Genomic DNA, 17,552 nt, shown 5'->3' with positions numbered 1-17,552 from the left:
ACTATTCACAGTATCAAAGACATAGAGTTAATCTAAATGCCCATCAACAATAGACTGGATAAGAAAATGTGGTACATATACACTATGGAATACTATACAGTCATAACAAGAATGAGATCATGTCCTTTGCAGGTTCATGGATGGAACTGGAGGCCATTATCTTTAGCAAACTAACACAGGAACAGAAAACCAAATACTGCATGTTCTCACTTATAAGTGGGAGCTAAATGATGAGAAGTCATGGACACATAGAGGAGAACAATACATATTGGGGCCTACTGGAGTTTGGAGGGTGGGAAGAGGGAGAGGATAAGGAAAAATAACTAATGGGTACTAGGCTTAATACCTGGGCGATTAAATAATCTGTACAACAAACCCCCATGACACAAGTTTATCTAGGTAACAAATCTTCACATATATCCCTGAACTTAAAGTTAAAAAAAAAAAAGTGTATGGGAATGCCCATCCAATTTCAGTTCCATTGCTTTTGCAGTAGGTTCTGGATAGAATGGCTTAGCATGTACTCTTATTACTGTGAAGTTGGTCCCAGTGTCTTGATGGTTTTCTATTTCTTGTTCCAGCGGTGGATGATTTAGCCCTGAGGTGGTTCAAGTAATTGTCTGAGGGACAAAAAAAAAAAAAAGAAAGAAAATAGCTCTCCTTGATAAAGACCAAAGGAAGTTTGGTGTGAGAAAAAAAAATCCACAAAATTATGTATCCTCAGGCTTCCTTTCAAGAAGCCCAGATGATCAAAATAGTGAAAAAATATTTGCCAGTTCACATTACTTAAACTGAAATTTTTTACTGAGTTTTTCAATCCTTTTCTTTGAAGATAAGAGATACAATATACTATGTTAATTGTATATTGTATATGTACACCTTAAAATGTATCCTCTTCTTTCTAGGATGAATAACTGAAGGTTCTCTTGATGCCTTTAGTCTCTTGAAGTGATTCAACTGCCTTTTCAGGAATCTTAATATAGGAGCTATCTGGGGGACTAGATACTCCACTTAAACAAGTTTAGTTTGCTTTTTCTTCCTCAAAGTATAGTTCCCAGGCTTCTCCCCTCAAGGTGAGAGGCAGAGGAGGAGATGGTTACATATGTGATATAACTAATAGGTTCCAGTTAATTGAGTGCTACTGTAATTTGAATTAGTGTAGCCAAATTTCTGTCTAAATTTAGGTGCTTCACAAAGTGAAATATAGGATTTTTGCTTGGACACATTAAAGTAAAAAATGCATAAATATTTAGAGTATTAAATAGTTGGGAGAATTATCCATTTAATTTAAAAATCATTGAACATTTTTCTTCTCTGTCTTGTTTTATTTACTTATATCCTTTGTTATAACTACGTCTGAGACAGAGAATCTAATCTATTAAAGGAGAAAACGTGATGAAATGGGTTATGCAACCAAGCCCCAGCTACATTTCCCCATCTTGTGCACTTACTGGTGGGGTTCTTGTGTGTGTTTTTGTGTGTGTGTGAGCATGCACACATGTATGTGTATTTAAATGGTTGCCACTGTTACTATCACAACACAAGGTATGCAAACCTCTCTTTCATCTCCCTTACAACAGTACTTCCACACATTCTGATCCATACCCTACCTACATCATGCGATTCAAAAATAACAGTTGATGCAAAGACAAATGTATTTGTTATGACTTAGTCAAGTTAAACTTTTAGAGACATCTTTTAATGATTTTTTTTAAAAAAATGCTTTGGGGAGGGTTGGCAGCAGAAGAAAGTTTGTTCTTTCAATTTAGGAAAATGAGCCCAGTCATGCAAGCTAGACAGACACAACAAGGACCTAAATGAAGAAGCTATACATAAATGGATGCTTTTTTCACAGAATAATCTAATGCTCCAGTCAGTCTCTAAACATTTATTGGGATTTATTGCATATACAGAAGTTATTTGGAGGACTCCAGTTCTCTCTAATCATTACCCTCTGCTCCTGCTTTTTTAGGAGCAGCTATAAATTCAAGAAGAGGTGGAAAATCGGCAGACTGCCAACCAAATTCAACCCACAGACATATGTTGTTGGGCCTGAACAATGTTTTGGAATGTTTTGAATCAATTTCCAATTGAAAAATGAGGGTTGTTACTTTTAAAAAAAAACAGAAAAGTATGTCTATATGTCTTCTCTTGAAAATTCATAAAATGTGGCAAACTGATCCAGGTGTGTATGGTAAGAGACAGCTGCGGGTGGACAGCTTCTACATCCTATAGACAAGGCATCATATAGACGTTCTCTTGTCTACAGGTCCTCTCCTACCCACTTATCTTGTATAGATATCCCAACTGGCCTGCAGGCATTCCCGACTGTGGCTCGTAGTGTCAATCACCCCTAGGAACATTGCTCCTCTGATGTATGGGTTGAATGGTGATTGTGCTGCCTATTAAGTCAATATTATTTTCAGTATTTCATTATTTTTAAATCTAAGCTGGTAAGATCGCAAATGAAGAGCAGAACCAGGAGACTGCATTTGCATTTGCATTTGTACTACTGCTTTAGAAAGAGGATCGTCAGACATTCACATTACTTCATTTATTCTTACAATTTTCTCAACATGATCTTAGTTACAACGAGTAGGATATTGTGCTGTGCTCTTTGCTCTTGCTAAGCAAGTTCCCCTTTTCCTCCCTCTCTTTTCTCTGCCTCCTCTACTGTTTCTATTATATTTTGGCAGATAATTATATCCTGCCTTATATTGGTTTCTGTTCTCTATTTGAGCTGTGTGTCTCTTCTGCCCAAATTGACTGTGGGCTCCTTAAAGTCAGACACTGTATTTGTCAGTGTTGTTGCTCTGTATTGTACTTAGGACATTATAGACACTTGGTCCCATGCCTTGCTCTCATTAATTCAATGCCCTAATACCAACTGGTTTCAGAATTAGTACTGAAATTGGTATATTCATTCAGCACTGTCTGAAATCCCCTGTCTTGAACTCCCCCAGGCCATGAGCATTTCCAGCATGTTCAAGTTTGCCACCAAGATTAGAATGACTGTGACTCCAAATCCCAAGTGTTGTTGGATTCCTGTGTTTCCTGCATACCTCTCCACATCTAAAGCTGCCAAATGTATGCACCATACAGCTCATCATGGTCAGGAGAAGTCAGATCACTGCATTTCACCTTCCCCCATCCCTGCTCCAGGGTGTGTATGCTCTACACATCTGCCATGCTGACTGGTCTCCAGGTTTTTTGTCAAGCTGGTTTCCCACCCTGAACCTACTGCCCACTTGCTAATCCCCTTTGCTAATGCCAGACTTCAAACCTAAAGCTCAATGCCAGCTGGCCATAGGATACAGCAAGCTTTCTGTGGACAGCACCATAGCTGGTTGTCTTCCCAGCATTTTGTCAGCACGTGGGTTCCCCTCTGCTGCACCTTGTTCTCATTAAGTGGATGCGCTAACACCAATTGCTTTCAAAATTAGGACTGAGTTGGGATATTCATTCAACCTACATATATAGAATCCTGAGTTGGTTTCCTCAAAGGAAAATTAAACAAAAGAAAGGAAGAAAAAAAAAGACAAAAGACTTCTTTACTGGGTTAGCAATCTATACTCTCAGGACTTCCTAGTTTCCTTTTATATGTTCCCTTCTCAGAATTATTTTTCTAGGACCCTAGTAGATCTGTCTTGTGGACTATCTACCTTACTACCTTACCACTCCATGCAAAAATTTAGATTTAAAATAAAAGTGCATGAAGAGAATTCTACTTTCTTTTCTCTCCTCGTGTTTGCTGTTTTTCTTTGCTTCATTTTAATTTCAGGCATAAGAGTCAGTGGCTGCCTACCTGTTTTTGAATTGTTTTATGTGATAAATATTAATTCTTCATAATTAAAGGGTATTTTTGGTGAGGGTACATCTTGAGCTGCTTGAAGGAAAACTACCATATCAACTAAAAATTGGTAAACAAACAAGAAAAGAGTTATCTCTTCTTCCCTTTGCCCACACAGCTATACTATACTCCCCCACACAGCTGTATTGAGAAAATGAAACTAATAGCAAGAAATTGCTTTTGATGAGTTTCATAATTTTATCATAATACTTAGAATTGAAATAAACCAAAATTATCATAGCATGATTTTTACATCATAGTGAAGAAAAAAAAGTCACTCTTTGATTCAAGACCTGATAAAACAATTACTACTGCTACTCTTACCACCGCGTTTAACCTTTTTAAAGTGATTTACTATGTGCCTCATGCAGGGTAAACATCTTTACATACATCATTTTATATTTTTTCCTTGGGAGGAAACTCACCATTTTACAGATGAGCCAATGCAGACTCAGAAAGATTAAGTAACTTGCCCAAAATATCATACAGGATCTAGCAAGTGGTAGGGCCCAGAGTTGAGTTTTATTTTTTCTGACTTCCCAGCTTGTGCTTTTAATACCACTACTATCTCTGTAAGAAAGAAAAAAGTTCCGTACTAAAATTTGAGAAAAAGTATGTTTTAATGGTTATACCTGAAATGTGTCCTAGCCCTTCTGTGTCCTCCCGCAATTCAATTTCTCCATGCTTCACTGCCTTTTTCTACGAAGTCTACTAAAAGCTCCCACTTTGTCACTGGCTTTCTAGAATTACCAAGTAAAATAACATATGCAAAACGACTTTTAAAATTCTAAATAGAATATAAATAGATGATAGACATTATTACTTGCATTAGTTAACTCAAACCCAACTATCACCCTAAAGCCTTAAAATACATTTATAAGAAGCAAAATAAAGAGGCAAGAGAAATAGCAATATAAAAGCCTGAGACTCTTTTGCCATAATCTAGACAAGACTCAATAGATGACCAATAGTGACCATGATGATACGTGCAAACGGAAAGAAAGGAATAAATGCTGCTTGAGTATGGCAATTGATTGGATGTATGGAATAAGTGGTATGGAATACATGATATGGATGATATCATGTCCCTTAATAATATGACTTCAGGAGTAGAGATGTAATCGAAATTGGAAGGAAGGCAAAAATAACCCTTGGGAGAGGCCATGGATTTAATGTGGGACATAATCAGTTTAACCTGCTGATGGGATATCATAGAGGAAGTATCAAGTGACAATTAGAAATAAGGAACAATTTTGACAGAGACACCAAGGCTAAAGATAGAAATTTAAGGACCGTATTTGAGGAATGAAATTGAAATTATAAGAACGTCAAAAGAGAGACCAAAAAGAAGATGGTTTAGAGCCGTGGCATCCATTAGAAATATAATATGAGCCACACACATGTAGTTTAAAAATTTCCTGTAGCCACATTGGAAAAGTTAAATGAGATAAGTGAAATTAATTTTAATAATTTTATTTAACCCAATACTTCGAAATATAATCAATGGAGCATGATTAAATGCCAAAATATTAATTATTTTACATTTTCGTTATTTGTACTATGTCTTCAAAATCTGGTGTTTATTTTACACTTAATTCATACTAGCCCTTCTTCAAGTGCTCAATAGTCACTTGTGCTAGTTGCTACCGTATTGGATAGGTGGATCTAAGAAGGAATTTTTGAGAATTAAGAGCCAGGGGGAGACATAGAATCCAGAGGAGACCAGAAAAAGAGAAAGAGGAAAGACACCTGCAGTATGGCAAAAACCAAGGCAAAAGAACGTTTTCTTCCTCACAAGTTTTACAACACTTCTGCATAGGCAATATTTGCAGAGAAGAAACAACAGGTTTCCTACAGATGGCATTGCTTTAGACATCAAACAAAGTAGGATTCTTTTAGAGCCTTTTAGACTCTAGGGCCTCATGAATAAAGTTCAGCATTGCTTAACTGCTAACACTTAACAGGCTTCAAAATTATCGCATGGCATACTGAAAATAACATGGACTTTGCATTACCCAGATCTATGTACAACTCATGACCCAGCCTACCGAGAAGCTTTGTAAATTTGCATATTTAATCTCTTAACCTTAGCTTCCTTATCTTTAAAATGGGGATACAAATTCCTTTACATGATTTTTGTGGATACCAAATGCAATTATGCATGCAAAATTCTTGTCCCATAATCTACACAGAGTAAGTCATAGCTATGATGATAATTATTAAGAATCTCACTCTAATAATTTATATTGATGAATTTCTCAAGCAACTGTAAACATCTTGAGAATAAGTTAATATTGTCTAGTTTTGGTAACAACTATAGTACTTACCACAGTGCTTGAGACACCACTGAGGTAATCACCATACATTTTTTCCTTTAATGTTCTACTTTAGGAGAACCATCAAAGTATGAATAGGTGATATTATACAGAAGCTCAGATTACTTGATTTCCCCAGTGCATTTAGCAGAGAGCTGAATTTGGGTTCCATTGCTCAGTTTCTAGTCTTTAAAATTCTAACATGAAATTAACTAAAGCAGAAAGATAAATGAACAGAAACGGAAGTTTCCCTTGACTCAGCATCCAATTTCCTGAGCATTCTACCTTCCATAGCTCTTTTAAAGAGATGTTCTGTTTTGACTCTTTTAGGAAATGGATTTAAAGTGAACATAAAATTAGTCAATTTTAATACCATGGTTTTAGTAAAATTGCTTAAAATTTAAATACTTAGAGGTAGTTGCTCTTTCTCATCAGTTTATGGCAATATGTTTTCAGCTGGTGGGTTATTTGTTCCATTTTTCAGAAGCATATAATGGATACAGAATTCAAACCCAACCTTTCATCACTGCCAACTTACTAAAACTGTACCATATATATAGTACATATAGTGTCTTTTATTTGAAATATATTTCTAGCTTCTCTTCTCCTAAATTACCCTATATTTTAGACCAGGAAAATTCACACATCTCCAGATTGTCTTCCTTGATTCTACAGCCCAAAGTCAATCTTTATGGCATTTATCCTTTCACTAAACAAATATTTATTGATATTATCATACACCTACCATTTGTTCTAGGTTCTAGGTATTTAGCAGTAAAAAGACAGGCGAGGTCAATACTCCCATGGACCACACATTCTAAGGTGAAAATAGCCACTAAACACTGAAAAATAAATAATAAATTCCATAGCCAAACTAATATGAAGGAAAACAAAAGCAGAGTAATGAGATAACGAGGTCCTTGCAAATCATGAAAGGAGATTGAATCTAATTTGAAGTATAATAGTCATTTGGAATATTATATTAAAAGAGTTTGCATGGTTGAACTCTTAAAATGGCCACTCTGTCTACTCCTTGGACAATGACTATTGTGGGGAAGATAGAAGCAGGGAGGAGAGTCAGGAGAATTCTGCAATAACAGCAGTGGAAGTGGAAAGAAGTGATTGAATTCAAGATATTCTGATGTACCTATACCTCTTGCTTAATATCTAATTCATTCCCGTGAAATACAAAGTTATTCAATAAGAGCCTAAGATTTCCAATCATCACTTATAAGTATAAAAGTATATCAATAGAACCTCAAAAAAGGATTCAAGTACATAATAGCAACAATTTGAAAGAAGACAAATTGTAAACAAAATGTAATATAAAAGGAGTTTTTATTTATTACATTTTCTCTTTCCATATCTTTTTCTTCAGTAATATTTTTAAGGATTGGGAGACTTAACGGTTTTCATGCCCTCAAAGTATACTTAATAACAAATTACAGCACAGGAGTCACCTGGAGCCGGGGGCCCAACAAAAAGTCTGACTAAAAGGTTGTAAACATTGCCACCTCTTCAACCTTCTTGAATTAATTCAAACATGTACAAATCAACATTGTTTCATATGCTTCTTGTTATTCTAACTTGAAAGCAGAGAGTAAATTGGTGTGTGTGTTTTATCTAAAGTTTGATGTTCATCCAAGTGTCATGTTGTGCTGTATTCACTTGGCAAGATTTTTTTAGAAAAGTCATTGTATTGACAACCAAAAAAATAAAAAATAAAAGAAGTATTAGACTGAAAAAAAAAAGATATAACACCTTAAGGGCCATTATTGAGAAAAGTCACGTGAACAGTATAATGAAAAGTAAGTTTATATTTTACAGGCTCTACTTATTGCTGATAAACTAGATGAAACTTTGGGTAGGAAGTAGTAGGGAAAGAGTAGAATCAAGGATAATTCTTAGACTCTTGTCCTGAAAAGAGAGATTAATATGGTGTCATTAACTAAGGTGGAGGCAAAAAGGAAAGAAGCAGGCTGGGTTGGGGGACAGGTGGGCAGTAATTAGGAGATTTGCTTTGAGTACTGTATACTCACTTTGATGTCTCTATGAGACACTCAAGTGGAGATGATGAATGGGCAATTGGATTTATAGTTTTACTGCTAAGAGAAAAGATTTGGTCTTGAAATATAATTAGTATATAGATAACATTTAAGGTCATGAAACTAAATAAAACCGCAAAGGAATAAACCTAGAAGACAAGTAGAAATCCAAAGACTGATCTCAGGACATTCCAACATTTAGAGAGCTAGATGATGAGAAAGTGTTAGCAAAGGATACAGAAAGAGCATTCAGGTAGTTTGGAGGAAAACTGGAAGAAAAAAGTATTCCAGAAGTCAAATGAAAAGAGAGTTTCAAGAGGGAAGGAGGGTTCGATAGCATCAAATGCAGCTCAGACAGTGAATAATATAAAGATACATAAATGGCTATTAGATTTGGCAAAATGAAGACCTTTGGGATTCTGTCAATGGTATATTCTATAATATTTCTATGGCACTGGACTTATATGTATAATTGATATTTAGATACTTATCTTTGTGTACCTCTTACCTACTAAACAGTTTTCATTGGCTAAGTAGCATATCTATTTCTTTGTATCTCCAGCAATCCTTAGGACAACATAGTATACTTAGAGTTCAAAATTATTTATGGAGTTGAATGGAATTGGACTAATAACCAGCAAAAGATAAAAAATAAGTTGCAAAATCCACAATTGTATTGTGTGTTACTGACAAGGATAAGTTTTAAAATAAGATATTCTGTCTAGTTTTTGACATGCAGAAAATGCTTTCATCAGATGAACTTTCCCACCATTTAGGCAAAGATAGAAACTATGAAGCATGTATTCCCTCAAATTCCTCTCCTCACTGAATCTTACTTATATCCAATTCATCTGCATTCACGCTCATTAAAGTGCTCTCTCTTCTGTTTAAGGTTAATTCATCTACTTGAGCCAGTGATTATACCCATCTGTCTTAGTCTCCTCTGAGACCTTGTTGGGTTCCTTTATTTTCATTCCTTTTCTCCTCCTTCACTTGAACATTCATATTTTATCCCCCTTTTAAGCTACTGTCTATTTCAAGCTTTAGAAAAGGAATACAGCATTTAGGCTGGGCGCGCTCTCACGCCTGTAATCCCAGCACTTTGGGAGGTCAAGGTGGGCAGATCACGAGGTCAGGAGATCGACACCATCCTGGCTAACACCGTGAAACCCCGACTCTACTAAAAATACAAAAAAAAATTAGCTGGGCTTGGTGGCAGGCACCTGTAGTCCCAGCTACTCAGGAGGCTGAGGCAGGAGACTGGCATGAACCCGGGAGGCCGAGCTTGCAGTGAGCCGAGATTGCACCACTGCACTCCAGCTTGGGTGACAGAGTGAGACTCCGTCTCAAAAAAAAAAAAAAAAAAAAGAAAAGGAATACAGCATTTCATATATGCTATCTCTAGTTCTTTGCTTCCTTTGACATCTCACTCCAAGGCTTGAGTGTCACTAAAGTCACTAATGTTTTGGTCTTTAGTTATACAGCTGAGAAAGAATACATTTTCTTACAAGGAAAGCAAATCGACCTTTAATCTTTTAAAAAGAAGATCAATTTTAACCATAATAGCAGAAATATCAATAAAACTGTGTTGAGATGCAGTTGTTAGAGACTGGCAAAACCTGCAAAGCTTGGCAACACAATCCCTTGAAAAAGCAATGAAGCTTCTGCAAGCATTCTCATTAAGTGCTGGTGGAAGTTCAAAAAGTTACAAATAACATGAAGGATAGTTTGGCAACAACTATCAAAATTATTTTATCCTTTGTCTCATAAATGTTATTTCTGGAAATGTGTGATAGATAGATAGGTAGATAGATAGATGATAGATAGATAGATGATAGATAGATAGGTAGATAGATAGATAGATAGATAGATAGATAGATAGATAGATAGATAGATTTTCAAATAGAAACAATTACATGGACATTCATTGAATTAGAAAAACTTGAAAACATCCATCACTCTTTTTACAGGAGGCTGGTTAAATTAAGTATGATATTTCCATATAGTGGAATAGTATACAGCTGTAAAAAAGAGAATTAGTTCCTTAGTTTTGTTATAAAATATCTCTAATCTATATTTCTAAAAGAAAAAAAGCAAAGTGGAGAGGTGCGTGCAGTTATGTTATATACATACACACATAGATGTGCATATATATATGGTTTTTACATAAACTGTGAAGTATAAATATATATATTAAACATGAAAAGTGGTTACGTTGGATTAAGATGGGGATAAATGGGATAGATAGAAATAAAAATATAAGAAATAGCTTATCTAAAAACATTGTGTTTTGGTTTTATATTGATTTTGAACCATCTCACTATATCATCTATTCTTAAATTAAAAGCAAACAAAACAAACAAAAGGCCTTCATCAAATGAAAAAAAAGATTGTTATAACCATAACTTGAATAAGAACCTCAGGCACCTGAACAGGTAAGTCAGTGCCTGTCCTTACAGAAATATCTCCACTGACTTCAAACTCTTCTGCAAAGAAAATGTCACTTCACAGTGAGATAAATGGAAGAAACAAATACATCCTGACCCTAGACAGACAACCCATCAAGATGTAAAAGTGTGGACATCCAATTACGTATCTCCCCTGCTCAAAAACCCTGCTGTTACTTATATCCAGGTCTACTCTATTTATGATCTCACACTATCTTTCTGGCCTACCTCTTATTACTATACTTCTGTCTAACAAAACTGGAGAATTCACACTACTTTGGAATTCTCTGACACGCCGTGTTTTTGTGCCTTGACATATTTCCTTCCTGTCCCTTGCAATGTTTCTCATCTTCCCAGTGCTAGATTTCCCTGAAAACTACCACAAAACTTTCCTCCAAAACTGTCCAGAACTCCCTGAAAGTATGTGATCAGATGATACAACACTTACAAAATTCTCTAGTTTATGGCTCGGCAAATAACAGGAATGCAAAAATGCTGGATGAATTTCTGAACTCTAATAGAGCATTCTCTGTATCTTCTTATGGTACTTGACAAATTGTATTTGCATCATAATTATTAAAATAATAGTCACTCTGGATTATAAGCTTTTAGAAGGCAAATGTTGTGAGGAGTTGTCAAACATACAGTAGCTGTTGAAAAATATTTTAAAATTTAGTTTAATTCAAACTCATGTTTCAATCAGATCCGCCTTTCAATTAAAACTGTATTTTTGTACAATTATGGAATTTGAAGAAGTTGGGAAATAATGACTGTTTAAAATGTGACCATACGTGACTCCGTAGTAGAATTTTGAGGCTTTTGTCCTTTCTTCTGGGGAAAGCATTTTAATTTCTACATCAGGAGACCCCTCTTTTTAGCAGAGAGCCCAAGTGCTGCAGCTGTAGCTGCCCCCAGTGCAGGAGTGGGCCTGTGAGCTAGGCATGGTCACGCATGCTGTCTGCACCCAAGTTCAGTAATTGTTCAGCTATGGTCATGTGATCCAATTCAGTCCCATCAGATCTAAATCTGACACTTTGCTGTGGTGACTGGGGAAAAGCATTCTTTCCCCACAGTTTGCTGAAAGGATCAACTCAGTAGGAGCTTGACAATTTCGTGAGAGCTTCCACTAGAGACTGCTTACAGCATAGTGAAAAGAAGAGCTGAGGAATGAAAAAAATGAGACCTACTCCTGATAATCCTGTGTGAGCTCCTGGATCCAGCCATTCCTGACTTTGCTATCCTTAGACTTTTCACACATAAAAGAATATCTCTTTTGCCTAGGCTAGTTTGAACTCATTTTCTATCGTTTGCCAACAAAGAAGTTTTGCACACTCTAAGCTCAAATTTAGAATACTTACAAGGGCATTTTAAAGTCTAATTATGTAGCATTTATTGTACAGTGTAAAAAATATGCTTTTAGTATCCAAAGAATTAAATTCAGAGTGTTCAATGACTTTTAAAATACATCTATTAAAAACTAATTATGTTAAATAATTTCTAAGTGTATGGGAATATCAAAATTGCCTGAAAATGTAGTGCAATATTTTTTTTTTTTTACCTGCTGCAAGAAAGGTGTTTATTTCTTCAGGACTATCTTAAAGAAATGGATACATCACTGGGATGGATCCTTCATATGAGACACTTCCAGAAATTCTGTGTTTAAATGCCACAGGCAGGACCAATGGTTAACAAAACACTCTCCCTCTAAAGTCTTCCCCCAACCATTTACCATGGCATCAGTCTCCTCACTTGAGATCCAACATTTAGCTAATCCTTTGGGCCCTGTCTGCTGAGGAAACATATTAAAATTCCACTGGGGGGAGAAAGGGAGGCCTGGCTAGGAAGTCAAAGCTCTGTAGCCTTCTCCTATAAGCGTGGATTATTTTTATTAGATTCCCTAAGTGCTGGAAAATGGGATGAGTACATTTTAAAAGTTCAGTTGAATGGAAGGAGCCAGTGAATGGAAGGGTCTATCTTTCTAGGTACCAAGTCTATGGGACTCTAAATTAGGAGCAGAGCAGGCCGCTCCAGAAGAGAATAATAAAAAGGAGCAACAGGAGGAATATCAAGGAAAGAGTTTCTCCTTTCTGAATCTTACTGAATGCTGGCCCTAAGTGGAAAAGCACGACATTCTTTGAGCAAATTAGCTTTAATATGACTTTCCAAATAAAATCTTCCGTATTATTTTCATTTCATCAAAACTTGTTTCTGACTCATCCACTTAAAACATATAAAGTAATAGAATTCTATAGTAACTTATTTGCAATTAACTGTCTTAAAATTTGGTTTGTACCTTACTGCTCTTTACAAACAATTCTGAAGGTATTTTAATTTACCTATCATCTTTACTCATTGATCTTTCTAAATTCATATCAAGCTCTCTTCAATTCATTCTTAATTTTACACATATTCCATAAAATATGTGTATTTTAATTTAACAGTTTCTGCAAGAAACACTCATTTTTACAGTGAATTTCTTTTTTAAAAGCATTAAACAATTTAAAAAATTTTCATGGACTTTTCCTCAATGCCAGATGTTTATCTGCATATTCATTCTTGCTAAGGTGTAAGTATTGCATGTGTTTATTCATTTGATATTCTTTTATAATAAAATGAAAGAAAGTAATAACATATCAACCAAAATTATCAGAATTATACAGCTTCTATAGATGCAGAGGTTCAGAACCACGATATTGAAGACAGATTTAAATAATGCTTTCCATTGTGAGGAAATGCAACAAATTGAAAATCTAATCACAATATCAAAGCAAATATATATTACCAGGGTCTTCTTACATGCTAACAATAAAAAATGTATTGAACACCAAGTCCTAATCTCTATTTTTCTGTGATCATTTTAATAGTCAACAAGTAGCTAGCTTCAGTATTGACAATTGAAGAGGTCTTAAAATGGAGTGTACTACTATGCCTAATAATTTCCTACTAAATTGACCATGTCAAAAAACATTTATGTGTGTCTTTCAATAGAAGACAATAAAAGAAAAGAAAATTGTTGCCACTTATCAACCCTGTAACCATTTTTTAATAACACAAAAAATAGGTGTTGTGGGGGCCATCACTTCTCCCATCCAGCAGCACAATAAAAATAATATTAGGGAAGAATGGATCATATCTTGGGCTGTTATTAAAATTCTTTCAAAAATCTACAGTCAGATTTATTTTAGGTATTTGTCTCTGAGATTAGCAATATTTTGATGTTTTCTGCACATATGTTACAGCACACAAAGACATTCTGTAAAAGCAAGAAGTCAATATAAAAGAAAATTACATGTCAGTTTAGGACTAACAAATCCTTTTCATTTCTAAGGTTTATTATTTTGGAATATTTCAAAGAAGGAAAATTATATAATTACATAAATAACAAAAGTATACCTCTAATTTGCCTCTCCTCTCAGAGTAACCTTCAATGAAATCAGCTGTGACTTCTTTTTTAAATATAAAAGTTTGCTTATGAATTAGAAACTTACACTCATTTCACCCTATATCTTAAATGAAATTTAGAAAAAAAATTTCAAGTGTCATGATAGACAGTATTCCTTTACATTTTAAAAGCTCCTTGCTTTTTAATTAGCTACATAGTAACCTTTTTAAGGGTTTTTAGTGCTAACATTAATACAATGCTTTAAAGTGAGTATCTTTCACACTGAAATTCAAGCTATTTCTCATTGTTATACCCTTTTCTCTTTCCTTATCTGGATGTTGAACAATACATATTTTTATAAAACAGTTGGTTAAAGGTGCAAAGTCTCACATTATTTCTAGTAGTTATTTTTAAATGCACTTCAAACTAAAACTTTATAACTTATTCTGTCTTTAACATTTTAGTACAAAATCTTAGCAAATCATCTTATTATTATAACATTTTAGTAAAAGACATTGGAATTTGACAGCTGCAAATATGAAAAGAACATTCTTTTCTACATCAAAGGAAACCAGCCAATGTTTTAATCACAGGTAAAAGCGTCATATTTTGTAGAAATGTTTATATGTTCACACCAAAATGTAGGAAACTCTGCCGAACATGTTCAAGTTTAAATTTCATGTACAATATAAAGTTAAAACTTACCTTTTCTCGGCAATGACCTGTTATTGAAACTGCCATCAACTCCTAACTGTTAATGACTCTTTCAACAAAAACGGAAAACAGTAAAGTCACATGTCGTAAGAGTAGGCCTGTGTTGGATGCTGCTTAATTTCAGTACTGGGGGAAGAAAAAGGCGGGGGGTGGGGTGAGCACAAAACTTTTAAATAAAACCACTTCCTGGGTAGAGACAGTTAACCACACACATCACATCATTACTCAATTTGAAGAAATTGCCTTGTATAGTCAACAATATTGTTATTTTTCAATGTTATTATCAATTGTCAAACAAGACACATGTATAGAGATTTTATCAATTTTAACTTAAGGGAGGAAAATGTGTGATTAAAAATTCATCAGTGGGAGGAGCAGACTGCTAAGCACTGAAGAAACTTCCTCTTTCTCTGCCTTCTAGCAAGGGCTGAAAAATGAAGCGTCTACTCTGCTGGCTACGCTTGAGATGCTCCCATGCTATCAGGACACTCTGCATATTGACTTTGGAAGCAAGGAAGCCACCTCCAATTCACAGAGCTGGTGCCTCTGCCTCATTCATGAAAGGACCCACCAAAACCTGATCCAGTTAACAGGTTCATCAGGCCTTGGGAGGGTTGCATTAGAACTTCAGAAAACACAGCCCAGAGCCACGCCGCCATCTGAGCATCTGGGGAAAAGGCAGGTGTTCATCATGCTCGTCGAACACACCCTGTGGCATTTGCTGTGACTGTGGCTCTCATACGGATGTGTCCACTCTGGCAATTTCCTAAGCAGTTCTGAAACCTGCTGAAGAGCTTTTGCTCTAGCTGAGTGATTCTTTGTGTGGTCTGACTTAAAAAGAAAAAAAATATATATTATAATAAAGGATCCAAACAATATCATTTTGGCATGCTGCTGAATGCCCTCTTGTGTCAAACTTCAACAAACCCAAGACATATTTGTAAGGGGTCTCAGAAATAACTCTAGGATGTGCATCTTTATTGAGCCATGGAGTTCAAGAATAAGCTCCTGGATTTTCAGGCTTGGCTGGTTTTGTGAGATTTGCAGCTTAATCATAAAAGGAAGAGAGGAAAAGCTTTCCTTCCAAATATATGAGAGAGTTAAATCACAATCTCTTGTCATACAAACCAATTAGACTAGAAATCTGTGTAATAGAGCTCAGTGGTATAGAATGTTTGGCATACTAAAAGTCAATCTTTAAAAATAGATTTGGTGGATATGGCCCAAGTTAGGGATGGCATGTCCCTATCAGTTAACTGAATTTCTCTGGGATCTTTTTCTAAAAATCACATTTCAGATTGACCCTAGAATTCACTGTCAGTTCTCATTTCAGGAAGGACCTTTTTAAGTGTTTAGAGTCCTGAAGATTTGTACTGAATGCTTCTCCTTAACACCGAAGAGAAAATGGAAAGTTCATAATATTAAAAGTGAGGAAAGCAGAATTCCGGGCTTAATTCTGACACTGCTATTCACTTAACCTTGGCCAAGTTACTTAAGTTCTCTGAAATTTAGTTCATTTATCCATGTAATGAAACATCCGCATAAAAAAATCCATCTTGGGGAACACGATAAGTAAATAGATGTATATATTTTGTATATCATAAGGAATTGTAGATATATAAATTAGCATGAGCTGGGAAATGTTGATAACTCCTAAGAAGCATCAGAGAACTTCAGTACATTCTGCTTGATTTAAGCCTTTGTAAATCTGAGTTAGACTCAGAAGTCTAGGACAAGGAAAATAAATTAGGCCTTTCCTTGTTTTTGTTTGCTTGTTTTTACGGAGTCTCGCTCTGTTGCCAGACTGGAGTGCAGTGGCGCGATCTCAGCTCACTGCAAACTCTGCCTCCCGGGTTCAAGGGATTCTCCTGCCTCAGCTTCCCGAATTGCTGAGATTACAGGCATGCACCACCATGCCCAGCTAATTTATGTATTTTTAGTAGAGACGAGGTTTCACCATGTTGGCCAGGATGGTCTCTATCTCTTGACCTCATGAGCCGCCCGCCTCGGCCTCCCAAAGTGCTGGGATTACAGGCGTGAGCCACCACTCCCGGCCATGCCTTTCCTTTTAAATAGATACTAACATCAGGCATCTGACTAGGAAAAATATAAAATAACAATATACCCTTATGGTAATAAATAAATGTAAATACCTGCTTAAGGGTGACACAATATTTGTTGGCATCAACAATTAGTTAATGGAGACAAGTGCCCCTTTTCTTTGTATAAGGTGGAAGGTGAGCCCCTTAGGCAGTGTGATATGCCTGGGTTTGATTTCTTTTTTCTTTTCTTTTCTTTCTTTCTTTTTTTTTTTTTTTTTGAGACAGAGTCTCGTTCTATTGCCCAGGCTGGAGTGCAGTGGCATGATCTCGGCTCACTGCAACCTCCGCCTCCAGGTTCAAGTGATTCCCAGGTTCAAGTGCCTCAGCCTCCCGAGTAGCTGGGATTACAGGCGTGCACCACCACACCCAGCTAATTTTTTATTTTTTTTAGTAGAGACGGGGTTTCACCATGTTGGCCAGGATGGTTGTTAACTCCTGACCTCAGGTGATCCGCCCGCCTCGGCCTCCCAAAGTGCTGGGATTACAGGCGTGAGCCACTGTGCCCGGCCCTGGATTTGATTTCTAAAAGGAGAGGTACTTACTATGATTAAGGCTACAGGTCAGTGCCTTGACACTTGTGGCTTGATATGCTCACTGTTTTTAGTAGCTAAGATTTTTTGAATGTTTGCCATAATCCAAGCATTGTACCAAGCACTTTACATTCATTCTGCCTTTTAATCCTCACAACAAATTTGTG

At 35.9% G+C, this 17,552-nt stretch overlaps 1 protein-coding gene across 3 annotated transcripts in view, besides 1 other annotated feature; it reads right to left on the bottom strand.

The window, feature by feature from the left end:
- ARHGAP15 (Rho GTPase activating protein 15) overlaps nt 1-14,792 on the bottom strand; it is a 638,934-nt gene extending 624,142 nt beyond the window's left edge. For all 3 annotated transcript variants that reach the window (NM_018460.4, XM_017004500.3, XM_047445114.1), the window contains exon 1: nt 14,745-14,792. Coding sequence is in view for 2 of the 3 variants with exons in the window: in XM_017004500.3 (XP_016859989.1) it covers nt 14,745-14,780 (36 nt within the window). In the remaining variant the exon portion in view is untranslated. The remainder of the gene's footprint in view (nt 1-14,744) is intronic.
- Nucleotides 2,451-2,590: an enhancer, noted in NCBI's record as "active region_16599". NCBI's record gives its function as "activates an Ori minimal core promoter by ATAC-STARR-seq in GM12878 lymphoblastoid cells {active_cell/tissue: GM12878}" and the evidence as "EXISTENCE:reporter gene assay evidence [ECO:0000049][PMID:35858748]".
- Nucleotides 14,793-17,552: the final 2,760 nt, after the last annotated feature.

This window comes from Homo sapiens, chromosome 2 (genome assembly GCF_000001405.40).
Source record: "Homo sapiens chromosome 2, GRCh38.p14 Primary Assembly".
Classification (NCBI taxonomy): Eukaryota; Metazoa; Chordata; class Mammalia; order Primates; family Hominidae; genus Homo; species Homo sapiens.
This window is presented reverse-complemented; position numbering and strand designations above follow the sequence as displayed.